The sequence below is a fragment of the Homo sapiens genome, chromosome 16 (assembly GCF_000001405.40).
Source record: "Homo sapiens chromosome 16, GRCh38.p14 Primary Assembly".
Lineage (NCBI taxonomy): Eukaryota > Metazoa > Chordata > Mammalia > Primates > Hominidae > Homo > Homo sapiens.
In genome coordinates this window covers 7,117,770-7,137,927 of record NC_000016.10, presented here as the reverse complement: position 1 = coordinate 7,137,927, position 20,158 = coordinate 7,117,770, and the positions used below count along the sequence as shown (strand labels likewise).

The 20,158-nt window shown below is 39.2% G+C and overlaps 1 protein-coding gene and 1 pseudogene across 30 annotated transcripts in view; one reads left to right on the top strand and one right to left on the bottom strand.

Moving 5' to 3' along the window:
• The window catches only part of RBFOX1 (RNA binding fox-1 homolog 1), a 2,473,620-nt gene that overhangs the window by 575,413 nt on the left and 1,878,049 nt on the right, over positions 1-20,158 (bottom strand). The gene's annotated exons all lie outside the window — the stretch shown is intronic.
• On the top strand, positions 11,268-11,903 carry RPS26P51 (ribosomal protein S26 pseudogene 51; annotated as a pseudogene).

Genomic DNA, 20,158 nt, shown 5'->3' with positions numbered 1-20,158 from the left:
AATTAGCTAATGTACATCAAGCTAAAAAGTTAAAACAATATCTGGCAAATCACAGATGCTCAATAAAAATCAGCCAAAACATGTAGTGAGCCTGTGCACATACATTTGCAGATGAACTACAACCTTCCCCTTTTGGAGTTTCTACTCCAGGACCAGGTAGGGACTGTTGCATAATGTTATGTGTTCGAGTTTACCACCATTATTCCTTTGAGTTAAGTTGCTGTTGTCACGTATCAGGCTTCTAACCAAGGAGCTTGCCCCTAATCTGAGGTTCCCTTCTAAGTTTCCTTTTGTATTAGTCCGTTTTCAGGCTGCTGATAAAGACATACCTGAGACTGGGTAATGTATAAAGAAAAGGAGGTTTAATGGACTCACAGTTCCACGTGGCTGGGGAAGCCTCACAATCATGGCGGAAGGTGAAAGGTACTCCTTACATTGGCAGCGGGCAAGAGAGAGAATGACAACCAAGTGAAGGGGTTTCCCCTTATAAAACCATCAGATCTCATCAGACTTACTCGCTACCACGAGAACAGTATGGGGGAAACTACCCCCACAATTCGATTATCTCCCACCAGTTCCCTCCCACAACATGTGGGAATTACAGGAGCTACAGTTCAAGATGACATTTGGCTGGGGACACAGCCAAACCGTATCACCTGTGCTGGTCAGAATAGGTTTTCTAAAGCTGGAAAGCCTCTGATGACTTCCTAGTGTGCACCAGAAGAGTCCAGCTAGCTCAGTAAAGATTAGACTTTGCAGCTGGACTCAGATGTACCTAGAAACCCACTGCATCATTCTTTAGGTATTTATTTTAGACTATCTAACTTCTCTGGGCCTCAGTTTCTCCTTTATAGAATAGAAATAATAATAGTGTTTGGTGATACAAATAGGAACTTAGTGTCCAGTTGGCAAACAAAAGACTGAAATAAAAGTCCTGTTGCAGGGAGGCAGGGCATGGGCATCCAGTCCTGGCCCATGGGCCATGACGAGGAATGAAAGGGCCCCAGCGCAAACTTCTAGATGCCTCCTTCCTGCCCAGGCATGCAGTAGATTTTGTGTATGAGAGAAATAAACCCATGTAGCATTAACCCCTCTGGTACAGAGATTTTTGTTGCCATATCAGAATTTAGAATGCCCTGGTTAATACTAACCACTATCCACCTGATGACTGTGCTCTGGCCTAGCACTATCCGATAATTTTCCCTAGATGGGGCCAGGTGAAGTGACTCACACCCGTAATCCCAACACTTTGGGAGGCCAAGGCAGGAGGATTGTTTGAGGCCAGGAGTTCAAGATCAGCCTGGGCAACATTATGAGACCCAGCCTCTACACAACAAACAAACAAACAAATTAATTAGCTAGGTGTGGTGGCGTGCACCTGTAATCCCAGCTACTCGAGCGGATGAGGTTAGAAAATCACTTTAGCCCAGGAGTTTAAGGCTGTATTGCACCATCATTGCACCACTGCCCTCCAGCCTGGATAACAGAACAAGACCCTGTCAAAAAAAAAAAAAAAAAAAAAATCCCAAGATGATAGAGATGTTCTGTATCTCTACTAGGTATTGGCTCCAATATGACAGCTACTAGTCACAGGGGGGTCATTGGACACTTGAGATGTGGCTAATATGAGACAAACTGAACTGTTGATTTCATTAAACTTTAATTAATTTACATTTCAATATCCACTGTGATTACTGGCTACCATATGGACGAACACAAAGAACTAGCCTTTATTCTGTTCCTTGGAAATGCCAAACTCTCCCGAATCTTGAGGTCTTTCCATTTACTGTGGAAAACCATTTCCAGCCAATCTCTTCCTTTGACATTCTTGCCTGCAAGGTGTTTAGTCTTTCACTCTGCTCAGTTACAAATATGCTCCAACAATACCACATTACTCCTTCAGGCTTCAATGAGCAGCACTGTGCTTTACAGGAAGAGCACCTAGGCAAAAATGAATGCAACTGTTATGGATCTTTATTTTCCGATGAAATGGCAACTCCAAAGACAATGCAGATGAACCTGTGTGCCAGATGCAAAATAGAACAAACAGAGCTTTCTTTGAATTATTCTAGATCCAAACTACCTGAAAAGGCCAATCTGCAGTCAAAAAGACTAGAAATAAGTGGAATGAGGCCTTCAGAATAATTACATGTGGTTAATTGAAAAATGTTAATCATGTCATATTAGGAGGAAGACAGGGTTAAATTGGTAAAATTTCAATTCACTTAGGCCTTATCTCTTGTTGGAATGAACCAGACGATTAATCCTCAATATTCTTCAGGGATGCCGCGAACAGCGGCAATTAAATTAACAACTACAAAGTTTATGCTCAGAGATTCAAAAATGAAAGATGGAAACACTTTAATTTTTCACAAGTTGTTACCTTAATTATCTTCTTATTGCTCTGTCTCTTTTTCCTCATTACAAAAACACACCCCTTAGTATTCACGGATCCCTTTAATTTGCTGTAGCTTGGTAACAATGTAAGAAATGTCATCGAAGATGCAAAGTCATAAATCTTACTTTGTGCATGCTCATTGAAAATAAATTGTTCTGCTGTGCCTAGTCTCAGTGTTCTTTCTGCAAAGTGCTGACAAATTTCCTCTTGCAAACAAATAATGTGGAGTCTCTCTAAGCCTCTGTCCACTGCAGAGTTACTTAGTTGCTTTAATCCAACAGCAACAACAAAAAAATTCCTAGACAGGGCTGAAACTTAATTGGTCAGGTTCATGAAATACACTGAGGAAACAGAACAATGTAACAGGGAAATAAACACGAACTCAGAAATTCCTTTTCTAACATACAGAACAGACATAAAAACAGCCTCAGGATAAGTCAGTTTTACCAAATGTGAAGTTTTAAAACCTTCTTTATTTTGTTTTATTTTATTTTTCTCAGAATGATATCTCTGTATTGTCAGTGTGGAATCCCACTTTGCAAAGATTGGATAATTCATCTCTCTCTCTTGGAACGCGGCTAATCAAAATTGAAAAAAAAAAAAGATAAATTCAACGGCAACCACCATAAAGCCAAAGAATGCTGCCTCACAGTGATTTAACAGGTCCACTGACATATGTGCATTAAAACTGTAACCATCACAAACATTATCTGCATGCTATGTACTCCTTTAACATTAACTCAGAAGCCTGTTTGCAAATTCGGTACAGCACACAAGCCATCTACAGCAGCAGCAACAGCAACTACAACACAACAAAAGTAGTTTTCACAGTCAGGATTTCTAAGTAGCCTCTGTTGATGTGAATGAAAGCTGACGGAATTCTTTTCTTCAACGATCATTTTCTGGATGTGGGCAGGGTGAAGGGAGAGGAGGCAGGGGAAATCAATGATATAATTAAGAAAATAGGCTAGCAATTTGGAAACTGTGAATGAAATTAAAAACAAACCTATCACAAAACTCTGGGCTGAAACAGCAATACGATCAAATGACTGTGAGTCCAAACTGGAAAATGCATGAAAACATATCAATAATTGGATGCATCACATCCTCAATGCCTGAAGAAGTAATCACCATCACTATAAATCCTCTCCCAGAGCGATGTTAAAGTCTTTGACGGTTATATATACTGGAGCAGTATCATCACTTAGTCTACTTTCTGAATTTCCAAAGTTTCACAGCAAAATGTCATATCCCCAGAGAACATCCTCACAACAAATTATTAGCACAGCTCTATTGATCACCATCCAAATGGCAAAAATCTCAATAAATTTCATCTGGACCTTTACTGAAACCTCAAAAATGCATTACACCCCTCTCTGCTGACCACCGTTTTTATGATCGCTATTGTATTTGCAGGGCAGTCAATTTTATACAGCATAACAAACTGCCAAGTGCTAACGTGATTCCCTCCATTACTGAGGCCCACGTATTAAATTTACTGAAGCACAGTATCACACTTCAAATATTGCAAGGCTTAGAATTGAATGCCGCAGAGCCTAATGTTATCAACCTGACAAATACCCTGACATATTAAGTAGCAGATCATGTATTCATATTTGGAACTGATGTTGTTTTTCTGTTTAGCTGTATATTTTTTGGATTAGCCATGATATTTCAAAATGGGCATTACGTTTTGGAGTACAAAAGGGCTGACAGCAAAGAAGCTGTGTCAGTCATTCTTTTTTTTTCATGGCAGATCAATTATTATTTTTCTTAATGATGTGTTATTCTACGTCTAAAGAAACTATAAGCAGAACTCAGAAAAATACCACTTATTAAATAAACAATTAATTTTTTTGCTTTTGCTTTCTACCAATACAGAAAAGCTCTACAAGGTTACTTTCATTCCACCAATAAAATGGAAAGTTTCTTTGGTATTAATCATGTGTGTATCTTTCAGCTTTAAATTAAGACAAGAGCTGCTCTCTCTCTTCTCCTTGTCTTGTCATTGATTCTCTGTTGGTTGCAACAAAAGCTACCAAAATTACTGAATTGCCTCTAAAAACCTTGCTTTTATTCACATGCTACTAAATGATTTCAACTACTTCTCTTTGGAAAAACATGACCATTGCAATGATCTTCAACCAATATGTTCATCTCACATCGGAATGTTCTAATTTACAGAAACAAGAGTCCAGAAACCAAATATCTCAAAAGCCAAAGCTTTTCAAGTGTACTCTCCATGGCTTATATACAAAACAATATCTTGTTCAAAATATAAAATTCTGTCATATATTGAAAATAATTTTTTAAATGATATGTTTTCTCTTTCCCTCTTCATCAAAAACATTGAGAATCTGATACTAAAACCTCTTTCTAGGTCATGGATCTTGGTATTAAAACCTGCATTTTTGATGCATACAAACCATAATATCAAAAAATAGTTTTGCCATAATAAGGTCACTTCTGAAACGCAAGAAAATACCAAGGCACATGATTTATTTTCTGGTTATTTATTTATTTTCTGGTTTATTTCCTGGTATAACGGTTTGTTTTCTGACTCTAGTTTGCAGTTTCATCAGAATCACAAGTGAAAAAATGTATCCTGTTAAAATGGGCACAATTTTTATGCACATATGTCAGGGGACCTATTTATCACCACGTGGCAGCATTCTCTTGCTTTATGGCAGTTACTGAAAGATGTATCTTTTTTTTTCAATTTTGATAAGCCCACTGTTTCTAAGAGTTTCAGTATTTGAAATAGCTATATAAGTGAAATCATGCAGTATTTGTCTTCTTGTGACTGGTTGATTTCGCTTAGCATAATTTCCTCAAGGAATATCCATGCTGAAGTGTGCGTCAGGCTGCCCTTATTTTTCAGGGCTGAATACTATTCCATTGTGTGTGTGTGGTTTTTTTTTTTCAGCTTTACAAATAGTTTACTTCTGCCTTCATAAACATGTGTGCCTCTCACCATTATGCAAGGCACCATGAATTAATACTTATACCTGAATACATTTGTCTTATGTTATTCAAGATAAAGTGACTGTGTGTGTGTGTGTGTGTGTGTGTGTGTGTGTGTGTGTGTGTGTGTGTCTGTGTATCACAATTTCTTCAACCTTTCACCCATCAATGGACCTTTAGGTTGCTTCCATCTCTCAGCTATTATAAATAATGCTGCAGTGAACATAGGAGTTCAATTAAAAATATATACAGATAAAGAACATTGCAATGATGAACTTGGACTCTGGCCGGACAGGGTATCTCATGACTGTAATCCCAGCACTTTGGGAGGCCGAGACAGGCAGATCAGTCGAAGTCAGGAGTTTGAGGCCAGCCTGGCTGACATGGGAAAACCCCATCTCCATTAACAATACAAAAATTAGCTGGGCATGGTGGAAGGTGCCTGTAATTCCAGCCTGAGTCAGGAGAATTGCTTCAGCCCGGGCGGCAGAGGTTGCAGTGACCTGATATTGTGCCACTTCGCTCTAGTCTGGGTAACAGAATGACACTCAAAAAAAAAAAAAAAAAGAAAGAAAAAAAGGACTCTAGTCATCAATGTTTTTTAAAGTTCTCCAGGTGATTCTAACTTGCCAGTGAGATTAAGAACCACTTCTTTAAGATACTGGGAAGCCTCTCACCCCCTAGAAGCTAAGATGTGCCCCTCTGGAAGTTAAGCCATTTGGATGTTTAGATGTAGGGAAAAATTAATCTCATGTATCCCAATATTCACAGGACTATTCACAGGCCCCAAATCAAGCTCCTTCAGAGAACCTGAGTGGCCAATTTGTACAAGAGCCTCTGGTCAGATGTATGCGGTTATGCTTGGCTTACTGTCTGGCAAAAAGACAATATTGACTTTATGCTAAGGAAGCTCTGCCTATCTCATCTGGGCCCAACTCTCTGCTTGAGGGATGGTATTCAGGAAAGACTGCAGTGTTCAGAGTCAAATGAACATGGTTCAAACCTCAGTTCCAATCACTTGCCAGCTAGGTTGATTATGGTGAGTTTATTCCATCCTTTCAGGTACTCATTCCCTCAACTATAAAATGGAGATTATGAAACCTACCGGAGCAGAAGCAAGAGATGTAAAGTGGCCAACTATAACTTAAAACATAAGTAGGCACTGACTAAGCAGAACCTATGATTCTTTTTTTTTTTTTTTAAAAAAAAAAAAAAAAAAAAAAAGACAGTCTCGCTGCAATGCCCACGCTGCAGTGCAATGGTGTGGTCTTGGCTCACTGCAACCTCCGCTTCCCAGGTCGAAGCAATTCTCCTGCCTCAGCCTCCAGAGTAGCTGAGACTACAGGTGTGCGATACCACACCTGGCTAACTTTTTGTATTTTTAGTAGAGATGTGGTTTCACCATGTTGACCAGGCTTGTTTCGAACTCCTGGCCTCATGTGATCTGCCCGCCTTGGCTTCCCAAAATGCTGGGATTACAGGCATGATCCACCATGCCCGGCCAGAAGCTATGATTCTTATGATTAAAAAGGCAATTCAAAGTCACAAATTTCTAACTTTTAAGATACCCATCTCTTTGGAAATGGAAAAACTGATCACCTTCACTTATAGGTGGTGCACCTTCTCTATCCAGGACTGATGATAAAACTGAAGGCAGTCATTGCTGTGTCACTGTCGCCTCATCATCTCTTCTTGATGGCACCCCAGGATTGCCTGATAGATTATGAATGAGATGAGAAAGTGTTCTTGTTCCCCACTCAGTTTTCCTCCATTTTTTAAAAGAAATGCGTTGACAAAATTTAAGCACGATATTAAAGGCAAAGAATTTGGCCAGGAATGGGCTTCGAGAACACTTCCTATTATTTATGCTTTTAAGAAAATTATAGTCTTATATTTATCAAGTAAAAAGGCACTGGAGATGTCATTGGCTATAAAACCTACATCACCACTGCAGACCCTACATATGCTTATCAACACACATTATTTGCACACTGACTCACTGTTTCACTCCATCATTCAGAATATACTTGCAGTGCACTCTCTCTGGGTCAGGCTCTGTGTTAGGCATTAGAGTACTGCAATGAGTGAGACAGAGATGATCACTTTTGCCTAAAAGGATGTGGTTCACAAAAGTGTTAAGTGTAATAATGTGAATACGCTCAGAGAATTTCCAGAGCACAATGGACAAACACTTAACCCATTCAGCTGGCTTAAAAATAATCAGTCTTCAGGCCTGGCGTGGTGGCTTCATGCCTACAATCTCAGCACTTTGGGAAGCTGATGTGGGTAGATCACCTGAGGTCAGGAGTTCAAGACCAGCCTGGCCAAATATGGCGAAACTCCACCTCTACCAAAAATACAAAAATTAGCTGGGCATGGTGGCACGTGCCTGTTAATTCCAACTACTTGGAAGGCTGAGGCAGGAGAATTGCTTGAACCCAGGAGGCAGAGGTTGCAGTGGGCCAAGATCTCGCCATTGCACCCCAGCCTGGGCGACAGAGCTAGGCTCTGTCTCAAAAAAAAAAAAAAAAAATCTTCAAAAATGAAGAAGATTAGAGGCCAGGTATAGATGGAAGTAGAGGAGTATATATCCTATTTGGTATTGCTGGCAAATGAGATTTGAAGCAGGAAATGGAAAACAAAGCAGGGTTCCACTTATCATCTAGAGGGTCATTCATTGCTTATTTTTTCATCCACCATCTATCCATGCACCCACCCACCCACCCATCCATCATCCATCTATCTGTCTAACCATTCACTCATTTTTTTTTTCAGTGTGATAAATGTCTCTTTGCAGCTAGGAGTTGTCGTGTCTCCTGGTACTTTAAAAATAGCACACACAACCCGATTTGGGGGCTCCCAGGCACTTGAAATTTGCTATTTCTGCCCCTTTCTGCAAGGCCCCTCTTCCTAATGTCCACATTATCCTCCTCATGATCTAGTCAACAATCAGATGCATACACTTAAAGCCAACTGTAATTCCTCAATTTTTTTCCCCAGGAGATAGGGCAAATGTGTCTCTCCATTGTAATCCAAGAGTATCATGGCAAGGTCTTATCCTTGAAATTTACCCAATTGCCCCTACCATATCCCTATCAGTGGGGGATATTATTTTGTCACCTGATCTCTATCCATTACTTCTTCTGAAAATAACTTTCCTTTGAGCTACTGTTCCTATGCCACTTCCAGTACCCATGGTTTAGGTAGGGCTGACTCCTGTACCTCATCTTAGAAATGAAGACAGGACCCAAATCTAACCAAACCGATGAAACACTTTGTTTTCCTGGCCAAAATGATTGGTTCAATTGTGGGGTTACTATCCAAGCCGAATCAATAAAAACTATATAAAGAACATTGCAATGAGGAAGAACTTGTACTCTGGAGCCAGACTTTCCTGGTTTGAATCCTGCTAAAAATCTAACTTTGGGCAAGTTTAATTACCTTTATGACTGCGTGCCGTGGCTCACACCTGTAATCCCAGCACTTTGGGAGGCTGAGGTGGGCGGATCACGAGGTTAAGGTGTCAAGACCATCCTGGCCAACATGGTGAAACCTCATCTCTACTAAAAATACAAAAATTAACTGGGCGTGGTGTCATGCACCTGTAGTCCCAGCTACTTGGGAGGTTGAGGCAGGAGAATGGCTTGAACCCAGGAGGCGGAGGTTGCAGTGAGCCGAGATTGCACCACTGCACTCCAGCCTGGCGACAAAGTGAGACTCCGTCTTAAAAAAAAAAAAAAAAAAAAAGTAAAAAGAAAAAAAAGTTACCATTATGTCAGACAGATTACCAAAATAGCCTCCGATTCTTCCCCAGTTCTAGCCCTTTGTGATATGACCATGAACATCCTCCCATCAAGTGGTAGAGTTTAGTTCCCCACCCTCTGAATCCAAACTGGACTTGTAACATATTCTGGTAACAATAGGGTAGAAATGAGAATGTGTCAGTTCCTAGCATGAGCCTCTCCAGGCTTTGAGTACCTTTGCCCCTTCTGCATGTACAATTGTGCCAGCTCACTGCTGTATCTCTACCTCACTAAGTGAACCAGGCTAGCTTGCTGGGGATATCAGAGACACACACGTACAGAACCGAACTATCCCCGCTGATGTCACCCTGGAGGATTCAGGCTCTCTTGGTTTGCCAATTTATCAGACTCATGGTCACTCTTTCAAGCCACTAGGCTTTGGACTAGCTCATTACACAGCAATAGCTAAGTGACAGAACTGTTCTGTAACTAAGTTTTACCATATTAAAATGGGGTTAAGTATAGTACCTATCTTGCAGAATTATTGTGAGGATTCAAGGAAATAACAGAGTTCATATACAAAAAGGACTTAGTGTCTGGCACTTAATACATGCTATTATTCTTTGAAAGAAAATCTTTGAGGATTTTATTGTTCTTGTCAGAATGGTTAGGAAGGAGACATTTGCTTTTCACCAGGGCTGTCCATTTCATAGAAAGTAAGCCTGGAGCTGCTGCATCACTTGAGCCCCCATTAAGGAAGAATTTGCCAGAGGACGATGTCAAGACTGAAAAGCTGAGCCAAGAAACAGCAAAGAACCAGATTTCAAACCGTGTATTTGTGCATCTGAACCCAGCCTCTTTCGGACCTTTGCAGTTGTGTAAGCCAATGAACTCCCTCTTCTAAACAAAAGACCAGGTGCATTGTGACTCTGTTGCTTGCAACCAACAGTGCCTGATTAATATGCTGCTTAATAAAGTCCTTATATGCTTGCAAACGACCTTTGCTCTCAGTCAGGTCATCCTACCAAGATGTGCCAAGGCTTCAGCCTGCCTCCACGGGGCTATGAGGAAGAATGCAGAAGATAAAAGCTCGTTTTGAAGCATATACAACCCAAAGTCCTCTGAAAGAAACTCATTCATTCCACATTTATACTCTTAACTTGAAATCATCACCACACAATTGTCATCTCCCTTACTCCCGACTCTCACTCTCAACTTATTCACACCATGATACAGAATGTACACATTCCCCACACACATGCACGCTCGTGCATACACATACAGTACACACCATATACCAAAAGACCTGTAAGTAAATCCCTGTCATCAAAAACTGCTCTATTTATTTCTTAACATATTTATTTCTCCCTACCTTGACATAACAGTATATATAAGATGGGGATAATAGTGGCTAAGTGCATAGGGTGATAATAAGTATCAAATAAGTTATTATTTACAAAATGCTTATAACCAGACCTGAGATTGTTACTTTTAACCTTCTCTCTTGAGACCAAGCAAACACAGTATCATAAGTACTATGGATAATATTACATATTGCTGACAACACCATGGATACAGGAAAGTATGGAGAATGCTGAATAACGATTTTATGCTTTCGGAGGCATTTGTGGCTAGTTCACAGAGACTTTTCTTTCTCTGAAATTATAATCACAGTCAGGGGTAGAACACCAGCCACCATTTATGACCACATGAAGTGCTCCCCTCAGTCATAGCTGTTTAAACAAAAGGGGTCTAGGAAGGACCAACCAGATTTTCTCTTAGGTCTGCAATAATTTTTTTTTTTTTTTTTTTGAGACGGATTCTCGCTCTGTCACGCCCAGGCTGCAGTGTAGTGGCGCGATCTTGGCTCACTGCAACCTCTGCCTCCCGGGTTTAAGCTATTCTCCTGCCTCAGCCTCCCAAGTAGCTGGGATTACAGGTGCCTGCCACCACATCCAGCTCATTTTTTTGTATGTTTAGTAGAGATGAGGTTTCACCGTATTGGCCAGGCTAAAAGAAAATCTTTGGCTGATCTCAAACTCCCAACCTCAGGTGATCTGCCCGCCTCAGCCTCTCGAAATGCTGGGATTACAGGCGTGAGCCAATGTACCCAGACGAATATTATATATATATACATATATATTTAAAAGAACAACTTAGGATCTCCGGTCCTTGCCTCCAAGATGACTAAGAAAAGGAAGAACAACAGTCATGCCAAAAAGGGCTGCAGCCACATGCAGCCTATTTGCTGCACGAACTGTGCCCAGCGCGTGCCCAAAGACAAGGCCATTAAGAAATTTGTATTCAAAACATAGTAGAGGCCACAGCAGTCAGGGATGTTTCTGAAGCAAGCGTCTTCGATGCCTTTGTGCTTCCCAAGCTGTATGTGAAGCCACGTTACTGTGTGAGCTGCACAGTTCACAGTAAAGTAGTCAGGAATTGATCTTGTGAACCCCACAGGGACCAAAAACCCCCACCTCGATTTAGACCTGCGGGTGCTGCCCCATGACCCCCACCAAAGCCCATGTAAGGAGCTGAGTCCTTCAAGACTGAAGACACACGATACTCTGGAGAAAAATAAAATGGAAATTGTACTTAATATTGCATGTTAAGTGTATCTGTGCCAGACAGGGTGGGGATTTTGTGTGGGTTAGACCAAGGGAGAAGTGACACAGTTATTTTCATGGGGAAGAAAGCTCATTCATGTAAACTTTTTTATTTTTTATTCTTTTGGTGGGGGGAGATGGAGTCCGGCTCTGTCGCCCATGCTGCAGTGCAATGGTGCGATCTCAGCTCACTGCAACCTCCGCCTCCCAGGTTCAAGTGATTCTCCTGCCTCAGCCTCCCGAGCAGCTGGGATTACGGGTGTGTGCCACCACGCACAGGTAATTTTTGTATTTTTAGTAGAGATGGAGTTTTGCCATGTTGGCCAGGATGGTCTTGAACTCCTGACCTCAGGTAATCCACCCACCGCAGCCTCCCAAAGTGCTGGGATTACAGGTGTGAGGCACTTCGCCTGGCTATTCATGTAAATTAAACCTTAATCGTTTGCAGTCATATCCTTGGCCTCACAATTTGCATAGTTGTGTGAAACAAAGGGAGTTTAGGCATCTGTCTAAAAAAAAAAAGTGTTAAATTTTAGAGCAAATAACTCATTGCTGCTGTTCCTCAGCTTCCTCTGTAGAGTTAACGATATCCATCTTCTATATTATTGCGATGATGAAATGAGATGTTGACCGTAAAATGCTTAGAACCATCCATGACTTGGCACATCATAAGTTATCAAAAAATGTGTGTTAACCATATTTTCTGAAGGAACAAACTTCAAACTAGAAAACTGCTTAGCATCCGACAGGTTTGAAATTTTTAACAGAAAACTGGACGTTTAAACATGACTTCTTGTGGATACAAGAGTTGACGCTAGTGACAAGGTATCAACCATCTATTGATTTGCCTGGCACTCTGCTGAGGATCTAAAAGTAGTATCTGATTTTATACCCTTGCCACTATGTGGATTTCTATGCCCACTGCACAAATGAGGATGCTGCAGGTTAGAAAGGCTGAACGACAACCCCAAAGTTCTATCTCTGCTAAATGGCAGATCTGGGATCTGAACTCAAGACAGTGTGGCCCGTCCCCCAAGCCCTTACACTTAACACCACCATGCAGTGTTACCTCTTTCTTCCCAAGGGCAAAAGAAACCTCTCATATTGTCATTTTGGCTTTTCTTTAAATATCTCAGCTTTGACAGAGTGCTCTCTTCATCCAAACCTCAATGTTGCTCTTAATAAGCCGGCCCCCTCCTTCCCATATGTAAATGTCTACCTCTCAGTCCGTGAGCAGACACATACTTTCCAGTCCTGTGAATTGAGCTAATGGCACCACTTCTTCCAGGGCTCAGATTTTAATTAGCTCATAACGCTGTCACTGGCTGGTGAAATATTTATTTGTCAGGAATACACTTTAGTAATTTATGAATCAGAGTCATACAGTAGAAACAGGATACGGACTGTCTCTACACTGGCTGTCTGTTTTCATTGGAAGTGCAGCATTCCTCATTGAAAAATCACTGAACTAAAGCCAGCTACCTTTTCCGTATGTGATATAGAGTCTTTTTGTGTATGTGGGGAGATTTTCGAGTATTGTGAGGTTCACGTTTTTAGGTAGAATGTGAAATGAGGGCTATCATGTGTTGCCCTATTGGTGAAGACATTATGAGAAAACTCACAACTTATTACAGGAAGGAAGGAAGGAAGGAAGGGAGGGAGGGAGGGAGGGAGAGAGGGAAGGAAGGAGGGGAGGGGAGGGGAGGGGAGGGGGAGCGAGGAAGGGAGGGAGGATGGTTGGTTCAGAAGTGTACAGTACATATTTCAAATTACAGATACTGTATCAGCTTTATCTATTTATTTATGACAGAGTTTCATTCTGTCACCTGGGCTAGCGTGCAGTGCTGTGATCTTGGCTTACTGCAGCCTCAACCTCCTGAACTCAAGGGATCCTCCCACCTCAGTCTCCTGAGTAGCTAGAACCAAAGGCACACACCACTACACCTGGCAATTTTTTAAAAAATATTTTTGCCCAGGCTAGTCTTCAACTCCTGAGATCAAGCAGTCCTCCTGCCTTGGCCTCCCGAAGTGCTGTCATTACAGATGTGAGCCACCATGCCACCAGCTTTTATTTTATGTACAAGTTCGTTGAAAACTCTCCTGAGACTTGGTAAAAGTATAAAACACTGGGCATTTGGGAGGGTCATGTAATATATGTGTAATATTTCTAAATATACATAACCTTTGACCTAGTAATTCCATTTTTAGAATTAAATAGACATCATATGCACAAAGACCTATGTAGAAGAATAGTCACTGATGTAGCATTAATACAACTTAGAGATTCCACTTTCCCTCTCTCCTTTCTCTTCTCCACTGCAGACTGTGGCATGTTCTTAAAACAGAAACTGGATCAAATGACCACAGCCCCACCCTCGTGCAAAACCCTTCTTCTTATATTGCAAATTCTAAATATAAAACAATGTACTTTATAAATTATTAGTAATCTATAGCTGTAAAGTATCATCATACAATATAAATATATATGTCCAAGTAGTCACCATATTTCCCCTAAACTAGCTCCTAACATATGGCTTTTAAAAGATAATTTTTGCCAGGTGGGGTGGCTCACTCCTCCAGTCCCAGCACTCTGAGAAGTTGAGGCAGGAGGATTGCTTGAGGCCAGGAATTTGAGACCAACCTGGACAATATGTCAAAACCCCATCTCTACTAAAATTAAAAGAATTAGCCAATTATGTTGAGGTGCACCTGTAGTCTCAGCTACTCAGGAAGCTAAGGCAGGAGGATCACCTGAGCCCAGGAGGTCAAGGTTACAGTGAGCTGTATTGGCACCACTGTACTCCAGCCTGGGCAAGAGAGGAAGCCGCTGTCTCAAAAAATAATAAATAAATAATAATAACAATGGTAATTCTACACTTTTTCATTTATTCCATCCACAAATATTTTTAAATGTGTAATGTTTGCCAGGAATGATGCTATGGGCTGGAGATATAACAACAAAAATATGCAGAGACTTTATCCTCATATAATCTATGGGCTTGCATTTATTTGGAATTAATATACCATAAATTTGAAAGTTTGGATGTACAATTTCATAAATGTTAACATAATTTACAGATTCTTATAACGGCTGTGCAATTAGGAAGCAGAAGAGTTCCATCACCCCAAAAACTCTCTTGTGCTATTCATTTGCAACTACCCTCCCCCCAACCCCTAATCCCTGGCAGCCCCTGATCTTTTCTCCCCAAACCTACAGCTTTCTTTCTTGCAGATGTCATAGGAATGGATTTATACACTATGTCATCGTTTGAGACTGGCTTCCTTCTCTTAGCATAATGCTTTTGAAATAGATCCAAGTTGTCACATATATCAATAGTTGCTCCTTTTTATTGTTCAGTAGTATTCCACGTGTACATGTAATGCTTCAAATTCATCTATTTGAAGACATATGGCTTGTTTCTAGGGGGCTATGGTAGAGTTGCTATACACAGACATGTACATGTTTTTTATAAATATACAATATCTTTGGGTAAGGAACCCAGGAGTAGGATTGCTAGGCTCTATGATAAGCATATACTTAACTTTGTAACGGACTGTCAAAATGTTTTAAGAATGTCTGCATTGTTCTATGTTCCTACCAGCAGTACAGGAGAAATCCAGTTTCTCTGAATCCTCCACAGCACTAAGTCTTGTCAATTTTTTTTATCTTATGCCTCTACTAGGTGTTTAATGGTATTCCATCCTAGTTTTCATTTGCACTTGCTGAATAGCTAATGATGTTAAATACCTTTTCACGGTTTTTTGTTTCTTTTTTAGGTTTTTGCCTGATGAATATCCTCTTCTCTTCTTTTCCCCCCACTCAGGACCCAATAAGAAAGGAGTATGAATATACTCTAAGTGAAGTGACTATTCAAGTCTTTTTCCCATTATTAAGATAGTTTGTTTGCTTTCTTACTTTTATGTTTTGAGAGTTCAAAATATATTCTAGATACTGAACATTTGTCAAGAGTGGTTTACAAATATTTCTTTACAGATTCTTGTATTTTCTTTCTTTTAATAGAGACCTTCACATATAATTTATTAACAATTTTGTTAAGTCAAATTAAACCTTTTTGGGGAGGTGAGATTGTGCATTTGGTGTCATGGCCAAAAATTCTTATTTTAACTCCTTTGGACGTGAATATTTTACCCATGTGTTCTTCTAAAACTTTACAGTTCTACGTTTTATATTTAGATCTATGATCCATTTTGAGTTAATTTTTTTGTAAAGCATATGATTTGGCAAATGTGTTTGCAATTATTCCAACACCAGTTGTTGAAAACAAAATCATTTCTCCTTTGATTTTGTACCTTTTCTAAGATTTAATTAAGTATATTTTGTGGGTCTATTTCTGGAGTCTCTATTTTGTCCAGTTGATTAATGTGTCTTCTCCTTTACTGGTTTGCACTATCTTTACTTCTATAGGCTTATATAAAATAAATTAGATATATTCACCTAATTTTATTCTTCTTTATTTTGGATATTCTAGTTTTTGTTTTTCCTTATAATTTTTAGAATCTTCACGTTTATAGCTACAAAAATACCTGCTAGAATTTTGATTTGTATTGTGTTAAACTTATACACCAATTTGTACAGAATTAATACTTTTACTACAATGAGTCTTTGAATCTATGTATATATTTAGATTTGCTTTTTTAATTTCACAAATACTTTATAGTTTTCAGCATAAAGATCTCTTATATGTTTGTTATATTTATAGCTAAGTATTGCATTTTTTGGAGCTATTGTAAATGGTTTGTTTTTAAGTTTTGACTTCCAAATGTTCTTTCCTAGTATATAGATATATGATTGATATTTATGTTTTCACCTAAGAGGTTTTAGAGTTCCTTGGGATTTTATAAATAGACAATTCTATTATCTGTGATTAAAGATGCCCTTATATATTAATTTCCAACCGATATGCTCTATAATTCTTTTTCTTCCTTATTGTAGTGAGTAAGATTTCCAGTACTATGTGGCATAAGTTTGGTGAGAGTGGAGCTCCTCCCTTGTTCCTGCTCTAATGGAGATAGCAGTCACTTTTTCACCAATAAGTATGATATTAGCTGTGGGGTTGTTTGTTGACATCCTCTACCAGGTTGCAGAAGGTGCCTTCTATTTCTAGTTAGTTGAGAGTTTTTATCATCAATGTAGATTAGCTTTTGTTTTCCAATACTGTTCAGGACTATTTTACAGGGTCATGTGTTAGTTTTCTTCTTTATTGTGTTAATATGGTACATAACATTGATTTTTTTCAATATGAAACCAGCCTTGGACTCCTGGGACTAATACTATGTGGTCATGCTATGTTATTATTTTTCTGTATTATATGTATTCCATGATATATGTTTACGTATGTGTGTGTGTGTGTGTGTGTGTGTGTGTATATATACATATATAAAATATTACATATAGCCTGGTTTTCGTATCAGATTAATGTTAGACTCATAAATTGAGTTGAGAAGTATATCTTCCACTTCTATTTTCTGTAAGAGACTGTGTATAGTTTTTTTTTTTTTTTCCCAACATTAAATGTTTGGTGGAATAGCCAATGAAACCATTTGTGTCTGAAAATTTTTATTTTGGCAGGATATTTTAAATAAGTCTATTGAACCATTTAGCTTATCCTGTTTGTTTTGAATAAGTTTTGGTAATGGTTGTCAAGGAATTAGTCTATTTCATGTAAGTTGTTGACTACATGTGCATAGATTATTTGATTATTTCCTTATAATCTTTTTAATTTATGTGATGTTTGTAATTTTTGTCATCTCTGCTTTTTGTCAGTCTTGCTAGAATAGATTCATCACTTCTATGCTTTGAAAGAGCCAGATTTAGGTTTGATTGCTTTTTGATTTTCAAATTCATTTTTTTAATCTTACATTTACTATTCCCTTCTTTCTCTTTGCATGTATTAGTTTTTGATTTGCTTTTTTTAATAGTCTCTTATGATATGCACTTACATTGTTGATTTGAGAACGTTCTTATTCTCTAATAGAAGCACTTAGCATTATGTATTTCCCTCTAAGCACTGCTTTCGCTTCCCACCATATATTTTGTAAAATGTATTTTCATTTAAGTTCTATAATTCCCCTTGAGACTTCCTCTTTGAACTATGGGTGATTTAGACTTTGCGGTTTAATTTCCAAGTGCTTTTAGATTTTTTCCAGTTTATTTTATGTTACTGATTTCCAGCTTAACTCAATTTTGTCAGAGGAAAGCAACTATATGATTTCAATTATTTTAAATTTGTTAAGTTTTTTATAATACAGAATATGGTTTATCTTGGTAAATATCTCATGTGGACTTGAACAGAACGGACATCCTGCTGCTGTTGGATGGTGTTGATTACACATTTTAACTATGTTTTGTTGGCTGATGGTGTTGTTCAGTACTTCTACAGCCTCGTTAATTTTCTCAATATTAATTTTATCAAATAGTGAGACAGACTTCACTTATGTTTGTAGACTCTCCATTTCTCTTTTCAGTTCTATCAGTTTTGGCTTTATTTTAAAAGTCCCATAGTTTGTGCATAAATAATCATGATTGTTTAAGATTGTTTTGTCTTTTTGGTGACTTGGCCCTCTTATCCTTATATAATGTCCTCCTGTATGTCTGGGTGGTTTTTTGTTGTTGTTTTTCCTCTGAAGTTTACTTTGATATGTAGTGAAACATATCTAAGTGAAACAGGATGGGAATTGCCCTAAATATATCCCATCTAACTCGAAATGGAACTCCCCCCATGGATTTTTGAATTGTCAGTGGTCAGTTTACTAGTTCTGTCTGCCAAAGTAATTTGAGTTTCCTTAAGATAGCTCGTTTATTGTACTTTTTATCTCTAGAGGCTGGCATCATGGCCACCACAGAGTAGGTGTTCCACAAGTCTGATGACTCAATAAATCATTCACCATAGGGAAACCTGAGGATAGTTGGTCAATTATGTACACACAAACACACATGCATATGTGAATGGACACAAAAAAATTACTGCCTTGTACCTACAGTAATAGAGCATTGCTTGTGGGTGGGATTTCTGTGGTGTAGGTTTCTAGTCTGAGTCAAATGCATGGTCTTCCTCAGATCAAGAGCACACATACATTGCAACACTTGCCTAGATTCCGCATGTTGCTTACTTTTACTGACTGGGTTTTATTCAGTTACAAAATGCCCCACCTGCAAAAAGTAACCTTGATCTCTCCCCATGAGTGTCCTCTGGCACACAGAACTGACTAAGCAAGTACATCCAATATGTATTTGCTACCAAACTCACAGAAACACTCTGCCACATGTTCCTAAAAATCATATCATAACCAGAACAACAACAGTTAAGAGATCTGAGCAAGTTCTCTATGTGCTCTATTTGGTATATGCTTCCATTCTCTCTTTCGGTGCCCTGGTAATTCTTCACAAGGCTAAATGCTTCTATTCTGTCCTTATGTGTACAATTTTACCAAATTCTTGTGGTGTGCATCCTTGAGGATTCTTCTCACCATGATCCCCACATCCTAACATTCACGCCTTTACTAATCCCTCCTTGAATGTGAGCAGGACCCACAACTTGTTTCTAACCAATGGAATATGACAGAGGTGATAAGATAAGTGTGATTACATGTATGTGATTATATAAGGTTTATTTTAATTTCAGTAGCTTTGGGGGCACAGGTGGCTTTTGCTTACATGGATGAATTGTATAGTGGGGAAGGCTTGGCTTTGAGTGTACCTGTCAACTGAATTGCATACCTTGTACCCGATAGGTAATTTTCCATCCTTTACCCTCCTCCTTGCCTCCCTCCTTCTGAGTCTCTGACTTGAACAGGCATTTCTCAGAAGATGAGAATAGCCAACAAATGGCCAAGAAACATGAAAAAAATGCTTATCACTAATCATCAGGGAAATGCAAATTAAAACCATAATGAGCTACCACCTTACCCAGCCAGAATGACCACTGTTAAAAAGTGAAACAACAATAGATGTTAGCATGGATGTGGTGAAATGGGGACTCTTATATGCTGCTGGTGGGAATGTAAATTAGCACAACCTCTATGGCAAACAGTATGCAACAGTATGCAGATTTCTCAAAGAGCTAAAAATAGATCTACCATTTGATCCAGTTAATCCCACTACTGGTTATCTACCCAAAGGAATACAAGTCACTGTATAAAAAAACACACCTGCATGTGCATGCTTAATGCAGCACAATTCACAATTGCAAAGAGAGGAAATCAACCTAAGTGATTGCATAAGATTATAGCAACTCTCTTGCTGGATCTCTCTCCCTCTCTGTCTCTGTCTCTCTCTCCACCCATTTCTGGATGTGCAGAAGCAAGCAGCCACGAATCCTGCAGCTACAACAAAATGAATCCTGCCAGCAACCTGAGGGAGCTTGAAAGCAGATCCTGTTCGAGATGAGTCTCTAATGAGAACCCAGTCCTGGCTGATACCCTGACTG